Below are 22,700 nucleotides of genomic sequence, written 5' to 3' on the forward strand. Positions count from 1 at the left end.
TGAACTGGTACAGCATCAAAGCCTGACTCTAGAGAGATGCCATTCATGCAGAAGAAAGCCCAAGGAAGAATGTTAACTTGAGTGGTAAGAAGTAATGTCCTATGTATGGCACTATTCCTCATAAAGTGTTCAAACACGAGTGTGTTGAAGAGGATGTCTGCCTGTGTGTATGAGGATTGGAGGAAGTCATAGCAAAGAAGGATCAGTTTCATACAAAGGGATTGAAACTGTGTGTGTGTGTGTCTGTGTAATAATGGGAATCACTTTCTATCAGAGAAAGGAATTACAAATATGAAAAGGGAGAAAATAAAAATGAACTGTGCATGATTGGATTTGGAGTTTGAGTTTTGGTATGAATTCATGGTATTGCATATGCAGATGAATGATAGACACATGGTAGATAGACACATGACAGATAGGTAGAAAAAAACACAGATGTAAATGCATAAATCTGTACACAGACACATGCAAACATACATACATACATACATACATACATACATACATACATACATACCCTAGCTGCGTCCACTAAGAGACCATTGGAGCTGTGGCACCTCAATAGTAACAAACAATTATTATGCAAAGATCTTACTTTTGAATTACCACTCTCCACCAGAAGAAACTAAGGCTCATGAGAGAAATGGCTATTTTCAGCACTATGGATGTTAAATGACAAGATGAGACTGAAATTTAGGGCTGTACCAGGAAACTTAGAAAGGTTTAAAAACTAATGGAAACATATAAAAAGGGATACAGAAGCCAGCTGAAAGCTGGTCCAACTGGCAAAGTTATGTGTGAAAATAAGTTATGATAATAGAAGTTTATAATTACTTGAATAATGTGAAAATCTGTAAGTCCATACTTATGTAAAATATAAATAATTTGAAAGCTTAATGAAAATATAAAAATATGTTTTATGAAAAATATTTATATAGTCTAAAATACATTGTATACTTGTATCAAAATATCAAATGTATACCCTTTATGTGTACAATTTTGTAAAAATAATTAAAAAATAAAATAAAATATATTTTTCTACAAAAAAAGAGAAACAAAGTACCTTTACAATGGGAGTCCTGTGAGATACCACGTTAATCAAGAGAGCTATGTAATGGAGAAATTAAAATTGTACATCATATGATAGGAAATGTAAGAGGAAAAAATAATGTTATAAAAAATTGACATTCATTTCAAAACCATATAAACTTTATTTTTTCTTAAAATTTTATGGTATCATTTTAAAAATTAATATAATAATTTTATCCTTGCCTATATCACAAAACTTTATAAGCCCCCCAAAACAGAATTTTATGTAATAATTTTTAAAACATTCACATAAACATCAGTCACTTTTAATAATTCATCAGAAGAGAGTTATATGAGAAGTGATTCTCCTAGGTGACTGAATAGTTATATAAAGCTAGAATGATAATTGTAGATCTCAGAGCTACAGAGGAAAAACTAGTCTGCTCCCACAAATGTCTTATTTTAAGACTTTCTTTAACATTTAAGGATTAACTAGTGGAGACAGATAATAAGGTTGAAAGGGAACAGGGAAAATCACACATGGAGAATGGAGAGAATTTAGCCAATATGCATAATTTTAAATCTGACTTAAAGTATGCAAGTACTTTATAGAATTTTATATTCTAACTAAGAAAATAATCAAATTATGATATCAACAGACTTAGAGAAAATATTCCCTATATTTGTTACAGAATAGATTACTATCCATAATAAGAGAACTAAAACAAAAAAAGTCAAGAAAAAAATGGACAGAAATGGAAAAACAATTGACTTACAAAACCAGTGATTATGCTCAGGCTTACTGTATTTATCTGTAGGTGTTTTTAGTTTAAAGCAAATGAAATGTAGTATGGAGTTTATTTAGAGAGCAGTTATATTTATTAAAATAATATTTTGTAGCTCCAAGAAATTGTGGGTGAACTTGAAAATGTTCAGATCTAAGACAAAAATGATGCCACAATACTGTTCACATTGCAGATACCCCCACTGCATTTGTTGAATATAAACACCATGTTTGCAACATTAACCTCAGTGACACCTGACAATGGAGATGCTGCTGGTATGTCAGAAGTGATTTTGGTGAGATTCCTGTTTACTTGTGTCTCTAATTACTGACACAGCATCTACGTATAGAGTACATATCTAACTTGTAATGCGTGCATGTTTCATTAATTCAAGGGAAGTTAGGCCTAAGATATTGATCAATTCATGCAGACTGCACACAGTACAGAAGAGGGGCTCCCAAAAGGTAATAAGAAACTATTTTAAGGATGCTACACAGTCATGAAAGACGGATAGGCATAAGAAGGAATTTCATTATTTTTAATTTTTTAATTTTTTAAGTTTACATACACAAATGTACATATGCACATAATGGGAATGCAATATAAGTTGTGTGTGTGTGTGTGTGTGTGTATAAACATAAAGAGGTTCAATGAACACTGAAAGTATTTCATCACTGTGATAAATTAATACAAATAAAACAACACTGGGCATAGGTTTCCTCTAAATAACACCTCCCAAATAACACTTCCACAGGCTGACTCAAACAGAGTGAAAAGAAACAAAAGGAATTATGCAATTTAGTAACCATTTACTTGTGAAAAAATAAAGACAAAAATTTAAATCTGTACAATAATTTAAAAGCAAGATTTGTCAATATAGCCAAATTCTTGACCAACCAGTAAAAATTACAGGAAATTATTTTCAATAATTATGCAAATGTTTTGATAGAAACATGTTCATCTGTACCAGAATTGGTTTTTATAGAAAGATTAAAATAGGACAAATGAAATTTTATTTTTAAATTATTATTATTATTTTGATAGAGTTTCTCTCTATCACCCAGGCTGGAGTGCAGTGGCGTGATCCCCGCTCACTTCAGCCTCTGCCTCCTGGGTTCAAGCGATTCTCATGCCTCAGCCTCAAGTAGCTGGGATTACAGGTGCGTGCCACCACACCCAGCTATTTTTTTTTTACTTTTAGTAGAGACGGGGTTTCACCATGTTGGCCAGGCTGGTCTTGAACTCCTGGCCTCAAGTGGTTCATCCACCTCGGCCTCCCAAAGTGCTGGGATTACAGGCATGAGCCACCATGCCCAGCAACAAAATAAAATTTTAAGTATATTGCTGTAATGGAATAAAATACAACTATTAATATAATGTTGTAAAAGTTCATAAAAAACCTCCCAAATTTTCACAACTTCATTCATAGCAGTCGCAAAAGTGGAAACAACTCAAAAAGATTACAAACTGTGATATATATATATATTACGCAACAATAAGGATTTCGAGACCAGCCTGGCCAACATGGTGAAACCCCGTCTCTACTAAAAATACAAAAATTAGCTGGGTGGTGGCGGGCGCCTGTAATCCCACCTAATAGGGAGGCTGAGACAGGAGAATAGCTTGAACCTGGGACGTGGAGGTTGCAGTGAGCCGAGATTGTGCCACTGCACTCCAGCCTGGGCGACAGAGGGAGACTCCATCTTAAAAATAAAATAAAATAAAGTAAAAAGAAAAAGCTGAACATTAAAGAATAAATCCTCTCTAATTTTATTTGAATAGAGTTCTAGAGCAGACACAAGTAATGTGGAGTGATAAAAATCAGATCAGTTGTTGCCTGAGTCGAGGAAGCAGACAGGTGCAGTTGGAGATAATGATTGCTAAGAGCAGGAGGTAACTTTCCGGGCAGATGGTAAGTTCTTTATCTTGACTGGGTGCTATGTACGCAGATACTACATACAAATATACTTTTGTTCTTAGAAAGAATAATAAATATGAAGCAGAAAACCCTTTGAGATGATGGCTATATTTATGGCATTGGCTATGGTTATGATTTCACAGGTACAGACTTAACTCCAAGCGTATCAAGTTGTAAACATTAAAAATGTGCAGCTTTTTGTATGTCAATCATACTTCAATAAAATGGTTTAAAAATGCACAGGTGTCAAAAAAAGTCATTGTGCATCAAATGTCTTTACAACTCAAAAAATTATGTTTTAGAGGTGAGATTATGATGTAAGAATATTTGTGATACAGTAAATTAAAAAGAGGGCTTTATAAAACTGTGTAATGCATGTAAGATGTACGTGTGTGTATGTGTGTATGGTAAGTATGTGTATGTGTCTAAAGAAAAACTGCCAGGAACACATAGACTACTGTTTTTGTATGTTTATATTGAATTTAATTGTAGGTATTCACTTATTTTCCACATTAAAATTAAAAATGCAAGCACAATAAATTATTTAGAAATGGACTGATGGAAAAGCAGCTAAGTCAGAAGCAATGGAAGTAAGTTCTTTGTACCTGAATGTACACACATCTGCACTGCAACCACAAACATAATTTCCCAATTTCTAATTTTTCTATTTGTCTCTTACCACACACTAATCTGATATTATTTAATATATCACGTTATAGCTTGTTGATCATTTATTATTATCATATTTTCTTTTTTTTCCATGAGTTATGCTATCCCTGCATAATAAGGGAAAAGTAACAATTCTATTCATTTTTGTATCCTGGTGACTAATAGAAAGTAAAAATGAAATTGCTGATTATTAAATGGATCAATGAATTCCCTAGCGGCAGAAAATATATTGGCCAATGATGGCTATATCCAGAACTACAGAACTCCTGTAAACTTTGGCCACAATGGACCAAAAATGGTTAAAACAAAAATAAATGTTTGTAGGTATTATTTTGACACTTTCTTCCCCATCTTATTTAAAATTTGGATTTAATATCAGGTAAAACAATTTAGTGAATTTTCTTCCTCAATTCATAGCACTTTTTAAAAATCATAAGTCCAGCACTGGACATTTTATATTTATGTTTAAATTTGCTCATGTCCTTTCATTATCACTTCTATTTCCTGTCCTCCTATAAGAACTATAGTACACAGTTTCATACAGATACTTACATATAAGTGTAGCTATAGTGTATTTGTGGAATAAATGCTTTAATATATACAAAGAGTATTATGCTCTAAATATTATCCCCTTCCAATTATTCAAAATTATTAGTGCATTCTTGTAGGTTTTGGGAGACTTTCTTTGGCAATTTGCTGAACCACAGAGCAAAAACCACATTTAATTTCAATAAATAATGCCAGACTGCTTTCTACCATAGCTTTCACAATTAATACACCTGAGAGTAGTAGAGTGTGAAGTTTCCCTCCCCTTACAACCTTTCCAACCCTTGGTATTATACTCCAATGCGCTATTCTGTTATTCTGATGTGTAATGTGGTATCCTTCTTGTACCATGGGTGCAAAATAAATCTTTATTATTTTAAGCTATTGAGAATTCTGGATCGTTTGTTACTAAAGCCTATAACCTGTCCTGATTGATTCAATGCCTATTCAAGCTTTCACTCTACTGAATGTTTAGAGCCATGTCAATTGGGTGTCCCTGAGGTTGTTAAGCTTGGGGTTTTACTTTGACAATTTAGATATTAAAAACACATTTGTTTGTTACCACCTTACCAGCTATTTATGCTGGAAAGTTAAAAGGAGACTGGAGTACAATACCAGCCAATTGTAAGCATATAAAATGTCCATTATTCTATGTAATCCTTGCAATTATTTATGATGGATCATGATTTTGAAGTTGTTCAACTGTGAGAGCTGCTACTATATGATATGTCTCTAATTATCTATATAGCCATATTAAAATACAGCCACAGTGTTTTGTATAAAACGTTCAATTCTTAAGTATGTAATAGCTGATTTAGGTAGATGGGAAGCTTGATTAAAGCAGCAGCAATCAAAGTACTAGTCAAAGTAGTAAAATTAACCACTATCCTTAGGCAGTTGCAGAAATACTTGCAAACTAGTGTACTCTGCCATTTGGAATTAAATAAGAGCAGGGATATGGTGTCACAATTTCAATAAATCATTACATTTAATTAAACATAGCAATAGAAGAGCTACACTCTTAATTAGGACTTATGGTTATAAGTATTTTAGAAACAATACAAAGTAATCAATTTGCTGGCCTGAAAGAATAGAAAGTGAAAATACACTTACTGAACTTGATTTTTCACTCTATATTTTATTTTTTATCACAAGCATTTACATGAAAATAAAACTCCATAGTGTTTTATTCTCCAACGACACTGAGATTGTCATTGACATTTTTTCTTTCTTGGCTTTTCCAGGTGGACAATAGAAATCTTGAATGCTTATGGTATGGGTGACCGTAAAAGAACAAATTCAATGTCTAAGGGTAAGGTCCAGGACTCTCTTTTGATTTTGAGATACAGAAACACAATCTGAACCAGTTTAGGCAACACAAAGAAACATAGCAGGGGATAAAGGAACATCAATGATTGCTAAAAACAAAATAAAATGCAATTAGGATTCTATAAATTTGTATCCCATTTGTCCTAAGTTCTCTATGCAAATTTAATTCCCTCACCAAAGATTTCTTCATGAAACCGTAAGCATAAACTCGATATATTTCTAGTTTTGAAATCCAAAAACTTGGTTTTTCTTAGTTCCAGTTTTAACATTCTACGACCACCCAAAGTAGCCTGGTGTGAATTACATAATCATCCCCATGACAAGGGGCTGGGCAGTATACTTTCCTTACAACCCTGGTTAAAATATTTGACTCTCCTTAAGGAAAAAACACCTGCAAGTAAATGTGCAGAGGTGAGAGGATGCAGGAGACAGAGGGAACAGATTGCATATATGTAATTTTTCTAACTTTAAAAGTTGAATATTATTAATGGATTAAACTTTGCTATAGGTAAGCATAGCAAGTAAGCAAGTAAGTAAACAACAATAACAAGCAAAAACAATGAAATAATCACTGGCCCCTTGGCCCCTTGAATCCCCCTCTGAAGCATAAGACAAAAAATAAAAATGAAAAGATTAACTATAAAATGTTTATCTAAATTACCCAGAGTTGTTAAAAGACCCTAAGATGTCTACCAACTCCACAATTATCACAGGAAATTTGGTGAAAGAAAACAAACAATACTACTAGGTGGAGAAAAATGTTGCACATTTTTTATTATAAAGAACAGCTAAGGACAGGTGTGATAGCACACACCTGTAATCCCGGCACTTTGCGGGGATGAGGTGGGCAAGTTGCTTGGGCTCAGGAGTTTGAGACCAGCCTGGGCAACATGGCAAAACCCCATCTTTACCAAAGAAAAAAAAATGGTGGCACACAAAGAACCAGGTAAGCTGATGCTGTCTAGGGCAAGAGAAGTTGGATGTCCCAGCTCGAAGAGTGAGAGCAAATTTGCCCTTTCTCTGCCATTTTCTTTTAATTTACAAAAATTGTATATATTGTCACATACAAAATGTTTTGTAATATGTATACATTGTGGAATAGCGAAATTGAGCTAATTAACATATTCACTACTGCACATACTCATCATTTTTGTATGGTGAGAACAGTTGAAAAATACTATCTTAGCAGTTTTCAACCATATAATACACTGTTATTAACTATAGCTGCACACAGCTGTGCAATATTTATTTATTCTATCCACCTGAAATTTTGTATCCTATGAACAACATTATCTCAACTCCCCCATCCCCTGCCCCTGGTAACCATCATTCTACTGCCTAGTTCTATGAGTTTGACATCAGAAAAGGGGTTGATATCCAAAATATATAAGCAACTCAAACAACTGAATATTAAGAAAATATATAACCCAATTGAAAAATAGGTGAAAGATCTGAATAGGCATTTCTCAGAAGAAGATAAAGAAATGGCCAAAAGGTACATAAAGAAACGCTTAAAAATCTAATCATCAGAGATATGCAAATTAAAACCCCACTGAGTTATCACTTCTGCATTTTTATCTATTTGGGCTTTCTCACACTGTGGAGGGCCATCTGCTTTAATCATCTCACTAATCTAAATGCTAATCTCTTCTGGAAACATCCTCACAAAGACACCCAGAAATAATGTTTTACCAGCTGCCTGGGAATCTCTTAGCCCAGTAAAGTTGACATAAAATTAATCACACCCTACAATGGCAGAGTTGAGGAGTTGCAACAGAGATTGCATGGCCCGCAAAACTGAAAACATTTGCCATCTGGTCCCTTACAGAAAAGGTTTGGCAATTACTACCTAATTTGATTATTTCATGTCTTTTCTTTGATCCCCAAATCTCCTATGCTTCCTCTGATATTTTCTCCACTTTCATTGAGAAAATCAGTCTAACACACACAAATATTCTCATCTTCCCATCACAAAACACAAACTTATTTCCATTTCCCCCTATTTTACTCATCTTCAATCAGTTTAAAAGGAGGAAGTGCACTTTTTTTCTACAAAAGGTTTATCATACTTGTAGTGCTCCGAGTCCCATCCTTTATTTTCTTCTTCAATATATTGCCCCTTCTGTAATTCCTTCTCTCTCTTTGCATTACTCCTTGGCTTTCTATTCTTGGTTAATAAAGGTAATAACAGTAAAAGGTGAAAGGGGTTTTTTGTTTGTTTGTTTCCTGGGCATAAACTCATCCTAGAAAATATTACCAGTTTCTGTAACTGTCCTTTTCCTTCTATGCTTCCAAGTTCACAGAAATTTAATGATGTCATAAACTCATAGGGGACTGATTGATACATTTCACCAGAGTAATCCAAGATCTAGTAATCATACTTCTTTACTCCCCCAATGAATAATTCCATTTCTCAGTGATGTTAATCTCAACAAGACTGCAAAGGAAAGAAAGCTGATTGATTTAATTTATAGGAGTATTGAAGGCCAATAATCTCTCCATTCAGAAAGATATCTTATTTGAAAAGCGAAGACTTGCTATTCAAAAGGATTTCTAGCTGGTGAAATTTTCAGAACAAGAAAGAGAAAGAAACCATTGTAAGTGATAGAAAGTCTGTTGTTGTTCAGTTTTTGTTTGTTTTTGTTTTGCTGCACGAAGGGCACCACATAGCTTTTTGTTCGTTTTTTTGTTTTGTTTTGTTTTTTACAAGGGCTTCTAATTATGATTATTATCTATTTCACAATAAAGTGATTTAAACAATATATTATAGAAATAGCAGCAGGAGCAGCAATGACAAACATTGACTCAGGTATAGAATTCTGTTCACTAGGCACCGTGCTCAGTACTTTAAATGTATTATCTCAGTTGATCATCAACCCTTTGAGACAGGTATGCTCGTTTTACCCATGAGGAAATCAATCTTAGAGCAGCAACTTGCCCAAGATCACTCAGTTACTAGGTGATAGTGTAAATCAAAGCACCCTGAATCCTGAGCTTTCTATATTTGTCATTGGACTATCTCTTGTAAACAAACCCAAACTGCAAAAACTGCATTGTCACCAAGAAAATGATTTTAGGACATCACCAGTACCCATATCTAGTTGGAACAGCCAAAAGGCTGAGAAAGAAATATGCTAAGGTTATAACAATAATAGCTAATACTAATTGAGCCTTTTATATAAATTTATCCTCTTAATATTCACAATAATCCCTATGAGATAGATACTTTCATTATAATTTCATGTATGAGGAAACTAAGTTACAGAGAGATTAAGTAACTTGCTCAAGATGACACAGGTAGTCAAAGAAGAATTATGACTTGAAATTAGCATCCTGGGCCCCCAGCTCAGTCTTAATCTCTCAGTCTCTGCAGTACTTAGTTGTATCCTATTCTGTTTGGTCACATTTTTTCCATACTCTTAGAATCCTTAGATAATCAATATTGAAACTGAAAACTACTGATTACACACACACACCCACACACACACACAAATTCATGCAAGCCCACTATGATGAGCTATTTGGCAACTTAGAGCAGACTATTTTCTCTATAACCACAAAAAATAGGTCACTCAAGGCAGGAAATCACAAGTGGAAGGGGTATCTGAGAAAACGTGCTGATCTCAGTGAGTTATGAGGGTGTTTTGTCACAGAGAATTATAAAATGCAATTCTGGATGGCTTTGAAGAGCAGATGGCATGAATAATTATATTATCTTATTTACTTTACATTACAACCACAAAGAATGTAGTGCTATTGTCATTTTGGGAGATTAAGGGGTTTATTCATTTAACAATTGGTGGTGCCCAAAATTTAAACATAGCTCTAACTCCAAATCCTGGTATCTTAATATCTGACAGGCTCCAAAAAAATGACAAGGAATAAAGAGACCATTTTAGGAGTCAATGTGTTTACAAAACAAACAAGAAAATAAGAAAAACAATGAAGGGAGAAAGGAAGGATTTTTTAAAAAGATTATATTATCATTATGCCACTCTTAAAATTAGAAAGGATTTAATCGGGTGAATTAACAAAGAGAACTTCATAGCAATAAGCTTGTAAGAATGTTTCATAAATTCATGGTAAAGCAATAAAACTGAGGAAAAACACAGAAAACATGAGGGGAAATTACAAAAATTATTTTATAGCTGCATTAAGAAATTCTACCCTGCTCAATTTCAAATAGGGCAAAATTTTTATGAGGTACATAGACGTATCAACAAATTAGGTTTGTTTGTTTGTTTTTGAGGAGGTGTGGGATACACGTGTAGCATTGTAGCATGAGTTAAAAACAAGTGCTTATAAAAAATTGAAATTTAGGTGGAATCTTAATGGATATGAGGTAATTCTATGTGGGACAGAAGATGGAGTATAAAATTAAGGTTCATGAAATTGTAAAAACTTGAGTGGATCAATTGGGACTTAACCAACACCCTGAAATTGCCCAGAAATAGTAATGAGGTAGCATAGAGTCCTGGCTAAGAGTATGAGCTTTAAAATAAGAGTACCCAAATGAAAATCCACAATCAATGTACCAAATCCTCGTACCAAATGTCTGTTTCTCACTTACAAAATTGGCTTTTTATCAACAACATTCATATCATAAAGTTGGTGTGTACATTAGGTAAGAAAATATATGTAAAGTACATGGGGTATTTGGTATATCATAAACAACAAATGAAATTTTATGATATATACAATTATGTTATTGATATCTATATAAATCTATATCTATCCATATTTATATCTATCATAAATCATTGGGTCAAAGTTGGGCTTAGCTGAGCACTCTGTCACTTCTCCTAAATATTTTTTCTGAATATTCTTCCAGGAAATGGAATGAGTGAGAACAGAGATAATCTTAATTTACAGAGAAGAGACTAATTATGGTTTGTGATAATGATCCTTTTGAGTCTGAAAAGAAAAGGAGGACAGTCATTCAGGCTATTGTTCCTCTGTTAGCAATGTTTACTTCCAAAAACTCTGTTTTCTGGAAGCTCTTATATGTTCTGTCTCTCTCTCACACACAAAACTCTCCTGATAATATCTATTTAACTAGTTCACAAGTCAGTTATTTCTGTATGCATGTATCTCGAGTCTGAGATTTATCCAGCATTCTTTCAACATATATGTACTGGGTATTTAATCCTTCACAAGGTCTACAGTGGACACTGAGGGACAAACCAGAAAATGTGCTCTCTTTTAGCTTCTAATCTGGTGAGAGTGACAGAAAAAGCACAGGTGAGGTAGCAGTATAATCATGAAACACATAAAGCAAAATAACAAGGTAGAGTAGACAGAGTTTGTTCATACAGACTGATCAGAACAAAAAACTGTTAAATTATGTAGGAAATTATGTAAATCTGGAACTGGAATTACCTTTTAATAATACGCAGAGACATTAACATAAACTGTCTACGGAGAGTGAAAAAATAATAAAACAGAGAAATACGAGAGATAAGAGATAAGGTATCACTGAAAATAAGGAGATAATAAACACATTCTTCACATTAGAATTTCTGGTTTCTGTCCCTCCTGAGGTCTAACTGTGTTTCCTAACCATGCACCATTCCATTGCTTTACCCTGTGTGATTAAGCTCCTTGTTGATTATTTGCGACCAAATATTACATGAATACACAATACATCACATAGTGATACAGAGTTCTCAATTTGACTTGCATTTCATGGAAAGATCTTCTTTCAGGATAGGATTAATGGAGACATACTGGGAGAGGAGTATGAGTGAAAGACATTTTCTGTTACACAGATCTTTCTGTCTATTCTAAAACCTCCTCAGTAAACTTGGACCACACTTGATTTCTTACACTTTCTTGTCTCTTAGGATATTCTCTCTGCCGCTGCCACCACCTTTCCCAAAAAATTGTGAGGTTTGTTTTGTCCTTCTTGAAACAAAATTTCCTTGTGCTTGGTACATTGTAAGACTTCTAACATTGTTATTATTCTTATCACCATCATCTCTATCTTTTTCTTCTTCATTATCATCATCACCACCCTCCTATTTCTCATTATACAACTAGTAAGAGGATAACCTTGTATTTCTAAAACTAGGCAATCTGGCTCTATAGTAGAATGTACATAGATGTAAAGTAAATACCAAAGACTCAGTGCTAAATACACAAGAGGCTGCAGTAAATAACTTAAGCTTGATGTAATTCTAATTTAACTAAAAACAATCATTCTCTTTGGACCACTTAGGTTGTATTTTGGCTCAAATCACTTAATAATGGCTTCATAATGTGCTTTTCATGAGGCTGAGATAGATAGGTAATAACCTTATCTGAGTAAGTCAATATTGTGCTTTTAGAAAGATAAGTGATTTAACAGATTCAAGTACTAGCTCTAAAACATATAATTTTTTTTATCTTGTAGTCTATTAAAGATCTTTAAGCCTCATCAGTAATAGTGGAATAATAATATCTACTTTGGGGTTGCTGTGAATCTTAAATAAGATGAGGTATGTGAGTTCAGTTGCCTAGTGTGTAGGAATTGTTCATTAAAAATAAGATACTTTCCCTTAAGCCTTAGTCAGATTCCAGTTCTAATAACTAGGTTCCTGGTAAAACTTGAGAATAAATGTAATGAAATAAGATTTGTATAAATGATAACTAAAATGGTAAAGTCTTATGAACTATAAAGCAGCATTTTTATACTTATTATATAAAGCCTTGTTAAGTTCAGTAGATCACAGTGTTAATGGGTACAGTCTGCTTCTGGTGCTTTACTTTCAGAGATTATTCACTGTGGAATCAGTCAATTGGAATGTCTTTCTTTTAATTGACTAATATGTTACCTGGAAACATTTTCTTTTCCTTGAAAATTATTGCTAATTCCTGACACTATTGTCTAAAGCAACAACATTTCTTTTCACCACATTTTTTCAGCAATTTCTCTCTCTCTCTCTCTCTCTCTCTCTCCTATTCTAGTTATTTTTATGCCCTTGTCTATATTTGAGACTATGACAAGAATATCCTCAAAATATTGCTAAGCATGTTTATAGTCTCTCAATTTGTTCAAATATTTTTTGACAGATGTACTGAAAAATAAACTACTTAAGAAAAGAATAGGCCAGGCATGGGGGCTCACATCTCTAATCCCAGAACTTTGAGAGGCAGAGGTGGGTGAATTGCTTGAGCCCAGGAGTTTCAGACCAGCCTGGGCAACGTGAGGAAACCCCATCACTAGTAAAAATACAAAAATTAGCTGAGCACGGTGGCGCACATCTGTAGTCCCAGCTACTCCAGAGGCTGAGGTGGAAAGAGGAGGTTGCAGTGAGCCGAGATTGTCCTACTCCACTACAGCGTGGGCAACACAGTAAGACCCAGTCTCAAAACAAACAACAGAATATTAAATGTACAATACAATTTAGACATATATTAATTATACTTTCCCTGCTTACTGTTAATTTTAAAAATGCCTAATACTTCCACAATGGAGGCAGCCTGGTATAATGGATATACCCGCATTCACATGCCAGCTCCACCATCTCTGATTGTGCGAGTTTGGGACAATTACCTAACCACTTTTAAGCTTCTTTTCCTCAGTATCAAAATAATATTGAGAATTTATCCATCATAGAGTTATGGTAAGAATTAAATGAAATTATATGTGCCTATTGCATATCAAGAAATAGGAAAAATTTAACTCATAGTTGCTATTTTCTTTCAATAGTATGTATTACTTAGCAAGTATTTACAAAACACTTTCAAATGCATTATCTTGCATATGATAACTCTGTTATTTGATAGAGAAAATAGTATAAACCCCATTTCATAGGTAAAGTAACTAGAATCTATATTTCCTGCCTCCAAATCCTTGTACTTTAAATAGGCAGTCACATGTCTTTTAACTGAGTTCCCGGACCCAGCAGGACATTCTGTAGTTGCTCCCAAGACAGAGATATCTAGACAACTCATTTAGAACAAGTTTCTTCCCGATCTTTGAGAGCAAATGCTCATGACTATTCCTTTCATTTGGCTTTTCAATACTTTTGGAGGAATTTCAATTAACTCAGAGGTTAGTATAAGGATGAAAAGTTAAAGTTAACTAAACAAGTTATTTCATATATTTTTACTATGTATGCAAACCAAGATGTTGCAGAGGCTTGCAACATATTTTGAAAAAGGATAAAAAATATCACTTGAAGCTAATGATTAATAAGAAAAAATAATAATGATGGAATAAATGCAGGCAACAAACATTTAATAAGGACCCATTTGAATATTCTTACTCTGCAGTGAATTCAATTGGAACCCAAGTTTAATTTTTTGAAGATATCATAAAGTCAATAAAATAATACATCTAGCCAAACCATTAGGAATATTGTAATTTTAGACTATTTACATTAAATGCTCTTTTAAAAAATTGCTTCAGTGTTCCTAATTACATTTAAAAACAGGATTCGTAAGTATACATGGTTAATACAACTCTGGCAATGCCATATTTTTTTGGTATTTCTGAAAAAGGAAACCACAAGATATTTTTCAGCAGAATTCATTTTCATGAAACTACATAGCAGATTTGCTGACCAAACATGTTCTAGTAATTTGTACTTGGAAGGTTTTTTTTTTTTCTTAATGTATTTCTATGCTGGATGACTATGTAGATGAGAAGATGCGTCTGTGTATGAAAAGTGGCCCAAATGCTACTCTCAGTGATACATGAAAGCTATGAAAACACCGAATAAATACCCTGTACATAAGCACATCTTATATTTCATGTTTAAGTTAACAAGAATTCAAATGTTTATAATCTCCAGTGAAACTTAAGAGATATTCATATAGCACACACAACTGCTTATATTAGATAGCCATCTGTTTATAGATATCAAATAGCTCATATTTCGAAACAATTTTTTTGTTGTTATGTAAGTTAAAATTTGACACATGGTAGGGTAAGAGGCAATAGTAAAAACATGCTGCTGAAAAGAAACCTGATTAATTACGAATAGAAGGATATTTTAGCACAGATTTTTTTCCTATTTCTCACAACTATAATTGATATGTCAATATTATTGTGAAAACTGTTTCTTTTTTATTATATTTTAAGTTCTAGGAAACATGTATACAACGTGCAGTTTTGTTATATATGTATACATATGCCATGTTGGTGTGCTGCACCCATTAACTCATCACTTACATTAGGTATATCTCCTAGTGCTATCCCTCCCCACTCCCTTCACCCCACAACAGGCCCCAGTGTGTGATGTTCCCTACCCTGTGTCCAAGTGTTCTCATTGTGCAATTCCCACTTATGAGTGAGAACATGCGGTGTTTGGTTTTTTGTCCTTGCGACAGTTTGCTAAGAATGATGGTTTCCATCTTCATCCATGTCCCTACAGAGGACATGAACTCACCCATTTTTATGGCTGCATAGTATTCCCTGGTGTATATGTGCCACATTTTCTTAATCCAGTCTATCATTAATGAACATTTGGGTTGGTTCCAAGTCTTTGCTATTGTGAATAGTGCTGCTATAAACATACCTGTGCATGTGTCTTTATAACCTCATGACTTATAATCCTTTGGGTATATGCCCAGTAATGGGATGGCTGGCTCAAATGGTATTTCTAGTTCTAGATCCTTAAGGAATCACAACACGGTCTTCCAAAATGGTTGAACTAGTTTATAGTCCCACCAACAGTGTAAAAGCATTCTTATTTCTCAACTTCCTCTCCAGCACCTGTTGTTTCCCGACTGCTTAACGACCACCATTCTAACTGGTTTGAGGTGTTATCTCATTGTGGTTGTGATGTGCATTTCTCTGATGGCCAGTGATGATGAGCATTTTTTTCATGTGTCTGTTGGCTGCATAAATGACTTATTTTGAGAAGTGTCTGTTCATATACTTCTCCCACTTTTTGATGGGGTTGTTTGATTTTTTTCTTGTAAACTTGTTTGACTTCTTTGTAGATTCTGGATATTAGCCCTTTGTCAGATGGGTAAATTGTAAAAATTTTCTCCCATTCTGTAGGTTGCCTGTTCACTCTGATGGTAGTTTCTTTTGCTGTGCAGAAGCTCTTTAGTTTAATTAGATCCCATTTGTCAATTTTGGCTTTTGTTGCCATTGCTTTTTGTGTTATAGACATGAAGTCCTTCCCCATGCCTATGGTCTGAATGGTATTGCCTAGGTTTTCTTCTAGGGTTTTTATGGTTTTAGATCTTTAATCCATCTTGAATTAATTTTTGTATAAGGTATAAGGAAGGAATCCAGTTTCAGCTTTCTACAGATGGCTAGCCAGTTTTCCCAGCACCATTTACTAAATAGGGAATCCTTTCCCCATTTCTTGTTTTTGTCAGGTTTGTCAAAGATCAGATGGTTGTAGATGTGTGGTATTATTTCTGAGGGCTCTATTCTGTTCCATTGGTCTATAACTCTGTTTTGGTACCAGTACCATGCAGTTTTGGTTACTGTAGGCTTGTAGTATAGTTTGAAGTCAGGTAGCGTGATGTCTCCGGTTTTGTTCTTTTGGCTTAGGGTTGTCTTGGCAATGTGGGCTCTTTTTTGGTTCCATATGAACTTTAAAGTAGTTTTTTCCAATTCTGTGAAGAAAGTCATTGGTAGCTTGATGGGGATGGCATTGAATCTATAAATTAACTTGGGCAGTAGGCCATTTTCAAGATATTGATTCTTCCTATCCATGGGCATGGAATTTTCTTCCATTTGTTTGTGTCCTCTTTTATTTTGTTGAGCAGTGGTTTGTAGTTCTCCTTGAAGAGGTCCTTCACATCCCTTGTAAGTTGGATTCCTAGATATTTTATTCTCTTTGAAGCAATTGTGAATGGGAGTTCACTCATGATTTGGCTCTTGTTTGTCTGTTATTGGTGTATAATAAGGCTTTTGATTTTTGCACATTGATTTTGTATCCTGAGACTTTGCTGAACTTGCTCATCAGCTTAAGGAGCTTTTGGGCTGAGACAATGGGGTTTTCTAAATATACAATCATGACATCTGCAAACAGGGACAATTTGACTTTCTCTTTTCCTAATTGAATACCCTTTATTTCTTTCTCCTGCCTGATTGCCCTGGCCAGAAGTTCCAACACTATGTTGAATAGGAGTGGTGAGAGAGGGCATCCCTGTCTTGTGCCAGTTTTCAAAGGAAGTGCTTCCAGATTTGCCCATTCAGTATGATATTGGCTGTGGGTTTGTCCTAAATAGCTCTTATTATTTTGAGATACCTCCCATCAATACCTAGTTTATTGAGAGTTTTTAACATGAAGGGCTGTTGAATTTTGTCAAAGGCCTTTTCTGCAACTATTGAGATAATCATGTGGTTTTTGTCGTTGGTTCTGTTTATATGCCGGATTACGTTTATTGATTTGCATATGTTGAAACCAGCCTTGCATCCCAGGCATGATGCCAACTTGATTGTGGTGGATAAGCTTTTTGATGTGCTGCTGGATTCGGTTTGCCAGTATTTTATTGAGGATTTTTGCGTCGATGTTCATCAGGGATATTGGTCTAAAATTCTCTTTCTTTCTTGTGTCTCTGCCAGGCTTTGGTATCAGGATGATGCTGGCCTCATAAAATGAATTAGGGAGGATTCCCTTTTTTTCTATTGGTTGGAATAGTTTCAGAAAGAATGGTACCAGCTCCTCTTTGTACCTCTGGTAGAATTCGGCTGTGAATCCATCTGGTCCTGGACTTTTTTTGGTTCGTAAGCTATTAATTATTGCCTCAATTTCAGAACCTGTTATTGGTCTATTCAGGGATTCAACTTCTTCCTGGTTTAGTCTTGGGAAGGTGTATGTGTCAGGAATTCATCCATTTCTTCTATATTTTGCAGTTTATTTGCATAGAGGTGTTTATACTATTTTCTGATGGTAGTTTGTATTTCTGTGGGATTGGTGGTGATACCCCCTTTATCATTTTTTGTTGTGACTATTTGATTCTTCTCTCTTTTCTTCTTTATTAGTCTTGCTAGCCATCTATCAATTTTGTTGGTCTTTTCAAGAAACCAGCTCCTGGATTCATTGATTTTTTAAAGGGTTTTTTTGTGTCTCTATCTCCTTCAGTTCTGCTCTGATCTTAGTTATTTCTTGCCTTCTGCAAGCTTTTGAATGTGTTTGCCCTTGCTTCTCTAGTTCTTTTAATTGTGATGTTAGGGTGTCAGTTTTAGATCTTTCCTGCTTTCTCTTGTGGGAATTTAGTGCTGTAAATTTCCCTCTACACACTGCTTTAAATGTGTCCCAGAGATTCTGGTATGTTGTGTCTTTGTTCTCATTGGTTTCAAAGAACATCTTTATTTCTGCCTTCATTTCGTTACGTACCCAGTAGTCATTCAGGAGCAGATTGTTCAGTTTCCATGTAGTTGAGTGGTTTTGAGTGAGTTTCTTAATCCTGAGTTCTAGTTTGATTGCACTGTGGTCTGAGAGATAGTTTGTTATAATTTCTGTTCTTTTACATTTGCTGAGGAGTGCTTTCCTTCCAACTTTGTGGTTAATTTTGGAATAAGTGTGATGCAGTGATGAGAAGAATGTATATTCTGTTGATTTGGGGTGGAGAGTTCTGTAGCTGTCTATTAGGTCCACTTGGTGCAGAGCTGAGTTCAATTCCTGGATATCCTTGTTAACTTTCTGTCTCGTTGATCTGTCTAATGTTGACAGTGGGGTGTTAAAGTCTCCCATTATTATTGTGTGAGAGTCTAAGTCTCTTTATAGGTCTCTAAGGACTTGCTTTATGAATCTGGGTGCTCCTGTATTGGGTGCATATATATTTAGAATAGTTATCTCTTCTTGTTGAATTGATCCCTTTACCATTATGTAATGGCCTTCTTTGTCTCTTTTGATCTTTGTTGGTTTAAAATCTGTTTTTTATCAGAGACTAGGATTCCAACCTCTGCTTTTTTGTTTGTTTTCCATTTGCTTGCTAGATCTTCCTCCATCCCTTTATTTTGAGTCTATGTGTGCCTCTGCATGTGAGATGGGTCTCCTGAATACAGCACACTGATGGACCTTGACTCTTTATCCAATTTGCCAGTCTGTGTCTTTTAATTGGAGCACTTCGCCCATTTACATTTAAGGTTAATATTGTTATGTGTGAATTTGATCCTGTCATTATGATTTCAGCTGGTTATTTTGCTCGTTTCTTCCTGGCATTGATGGTCTTTACAATTAGGCATGTTTTTGCAGTGGCTGGTATTGGTTGTTCCTTTCCATGTTTATTGCTTCCTTCAGGAGCTCTTGTAAGGCAGGCCTGGTAGTGACAAAATCTCTCAGCATTTGTTTGTCTGCAAAGAATTTTATTTCTCCTCCACTTATGAAGCTTAGTTTGGGTGGATATGAAATTATCGGTTGAAAATTCTTTTCTTCAAGAATGTTGAATATTTGCCCCCACTCTCTTCTGGCTTGTAGAGTTTCTGCCAAGAGATCAGCTGTTAGTCTGATGGGCTTTCCTTTGTGGGTAACCCAACCTTTCTCTCTGGCTTCCCTTAACATTTTTTCCTTCATTTCAACTTTAGTGAATCTGACAATTATAGGTCTTGGAGTTTCTCTTCTCAAGGAGTATCTTCGTGGTGTTCTCTGTATTTCCTGAATTTGAATGTTGGCCTGCCTCCCTAGGTTGGGGAAGTTCTCCTGGATAATATCCTGCAGAGTGTTTTCCAACTTGGTTCCATTCTCCCTGCCACTTTTAGGTACACCAATCAGACATAGATTTAGTCTTTTTATATAGTCCCTTATTTCTTGGAGGCTTTGTTCATTTCCTTTTACTCTTTTTTCTCTAAACTTCTCACTTCATTTCATTAATTTGATCTTCAATGACTGATACCCTTTCTTCCACTTGATCAAATCGGCTACTGAAGCTTGTGCATGTGTCACGTAGTTCACACCATGGTTTTCAGCTTCATCAGGTCATTTAATGACTTCTCTACACTGTTTATACTAGTTAGCCATTCGTCTTTTTTCAAGGTTTTTAGCTTCTTTGTGATGGGTTGGAACATCCTCCTTTAGCTTGGAGAAGTTTGTGATTACTGATCGTCTGAAGCCTTCTTCTCTCAACTCGTCAAAGCCATTCTCCATCCAGCTTTGTTCCATGGCTGGCAAGGGCTGCATTCCTTTGGAGGAGAAGAGGCGCTCTGATTTTTAGAATTTTCAGCTTTTTGGCTCTGGTTTCTCCCCATCTTTGTGGTTTTATCTACATTTGGTCTTTGATGATGGTGACGTATAGATGGGGTTTTGGTGTGGATGTCCTTTCTGTTTGTTAGTTTTCCTTCTAACTGTCAGGACCCTCAGCTGTAAGTCTGTTGGAGTTTGCTGGAGGTCCACTCCAGACACTGTTTGTCTAGGTATCACCAGCGGAGGCTGCAGAACAGCAAATATTGCAGAACAGCAAATGTTGCTGCTTAATCCTTCCTCTGGAAGCTTCGTCTCAGAGGGGCACCTGGCTGTATGAGGTGTCAGTCAGCCCCTACTGGGAGGTGTCCCCCAATTAGGCTACTCGGGGGTCAGGGTCCCACTTGAGGAGGCAGTTGGTCCGTTCTCAGATCTCAAACTCCATGCTGGGAGAACCATTACTCTCTTCAAAGCTGTCAGATAGGGACGTTTAAGTCTGCATAAGTTTCTGCTGCCTTTTGTTCAGCTATGCCCTGCCCCCGAGAGGTGGAGTCTACAAAGGCAGGCAGGCCTCCTTGAGCTGCAGTGGGCTCCACCCAGTTCGAGCTTCCTGGCCACTTTACCTACTCAAGACTCAACAATGGTGGACGCCCCTCCCGCAGCCTCGCTGCCACCTTGCAGTTTGATCTCAGACTGCTGTGCTAGCAGTGAGTGAGGCTCTGTGGGTGTGGGACCCTCCAAGCTAGACATGGGATATAATCTCCTGGTGTGCCATTTGCTAAGGCTGTTGGAATAAGGCAGAATTAGGGTGGGAGTGTCCCGATTTTCCAGGTACCGTCTGTCATGGCTTCCCTTTTCTAGGAAAGGGAATTCCCTGACCCCTTGTGCTTCCTGGGTGAGGCAATGCCCCGCCCTGTTCTGTGGGCTGCACCCGCTCTTGGACAAGCCCCAGTGAGGTGAACCTTGTACCTCAGCTGGAAATGCAGAAATCACCCATTTTCTGCATCGCTCATGCTGGGAGCTGCAGACTGGAGCTGTTCCTATTTGGCCATCTTGGAACCTCCGAAAAGTGTTTCTTAATATCATAAAACCTCTATCATCAGTAGAAGCATGGAAAAGATTATCTCTTGATGTATGCAAAAAATAAGATGTTGGTTGTAGGGAGTCCAAGGTAATGTATGTATGTGTGTAGTTCAATATAAATTGCTTATGCATTGTTCAATACACAAAGAAATGTATTTATTGTTTATGATAAATATATACTTATTGATACATTTATATATTAATTTATATAAAATTATATATAATTTTAATAATGCAAAAGGTAACAAAAATACATAAATAATATACCTTTTTGAAAAGAATAAATTATGCAATGTATCTTCTCATTGTTAGGGAGGTTGTTGATATGTGGGGTTCTCTAATATATACTCTAATCAAATAAAATAAAATGTAAATTATAAAAATTGATCAGAAAGGTCTATAATAAAATAATGGATGATAAATATTAAATATTATTGAAATAGAATTGTCTAATCTAATTTGAAATACAACATATGTAATTTGAAAATAACACATCAGTCACCTATAATAATGCCAACCAAAATTACAGTTCAAAAACAGATACTTGGGAAAAACTAAAATGAAATAAGAGCCAGATGTCAATGAAATAATCACAGTTACATAATTTTGCTAAGGATTACTAACCAAAACGGTGTCATGTCCATAAATCTTAAAGAATTAACTTAATTGAACATGTAATAAAAAGTTCTTGTTTAGTATAGATCATAGGGAACAATGTAAATTTTTCCAAAAATGAAACCAGCATTTATCAAGCTTATTATTGTAAAGTTAGAGTTGAAAACAAAAGCTACCTCCTACCTTTATTAGTGAATTTAGATATTTTTAAAGTCCAACATTAAATTAGCAAAATATGCCCATTTCTATGTGTCAAACTAGGGGTATTCTAGCAATACAGACATGAACTTTGGAAGAATTGTACTAAAATTATTTTTTCTTACATATTCTTGAATTAGGTAAGGAGAGAAGCAGGGACATAAATTTTAGAAAAACCACTTTGACTTACTTTTAGCCTACAAATTGAAGACGGTTTCCAATCCCAATTTCAATTCACTTGGAATTGAAGTATTCTAGTGAGGAAAGAGTAAAACAAATTAAAAGCTAAATATTTTTTGCTCATTAGTATAAGTGTGACTTGAGATTTATCATCTAGTGACTTGGTGACAACTCACAAAGTAATTTGAAACTATGAAAAACTATGACTGTAGGAAATAGGGTTTAACCAAATGGCAGTAAACAGCCTAAGGGGAAACAATTATTTTAAAACTTACT

General features: G+C 35.2%; 1 long non-coding RNA gene across 1 annotated transcript in view; it reads left to right on the plus strand.

Moving 5' to 3' along the window:
* Positions 1–22,700, plus strand: part of LINC00587 (long intergenic non-protein coding RNA 587) — a 137,873-nt gene that overhangs the window by 59,923 nt on the left and 55,250 nt on the right. The window contains exon 3 of the long non-coding RNA NR_103830.1: positions 6,192–6,259. This is a non-coding gene — a long non-coding RNA (long intergenic non-protein coding RNA 587). The remainder of the gene's footprint in view (positions 1–6,191; positions 6,260–22,700) is intronic.

This window comes from Homo sapiens, chromosome 9, assembly GCF_000001405.40.
Source record: "Homo sapiens chromosome 9, GRCh38.p14 Primary Assembly".
In the NCBI taxonomy this organism is placed as follows: Eukaryota; Metazoa; Chordata; class Mammalia; order Primates; family Hominidae; genus Homo; species Homo sapiens.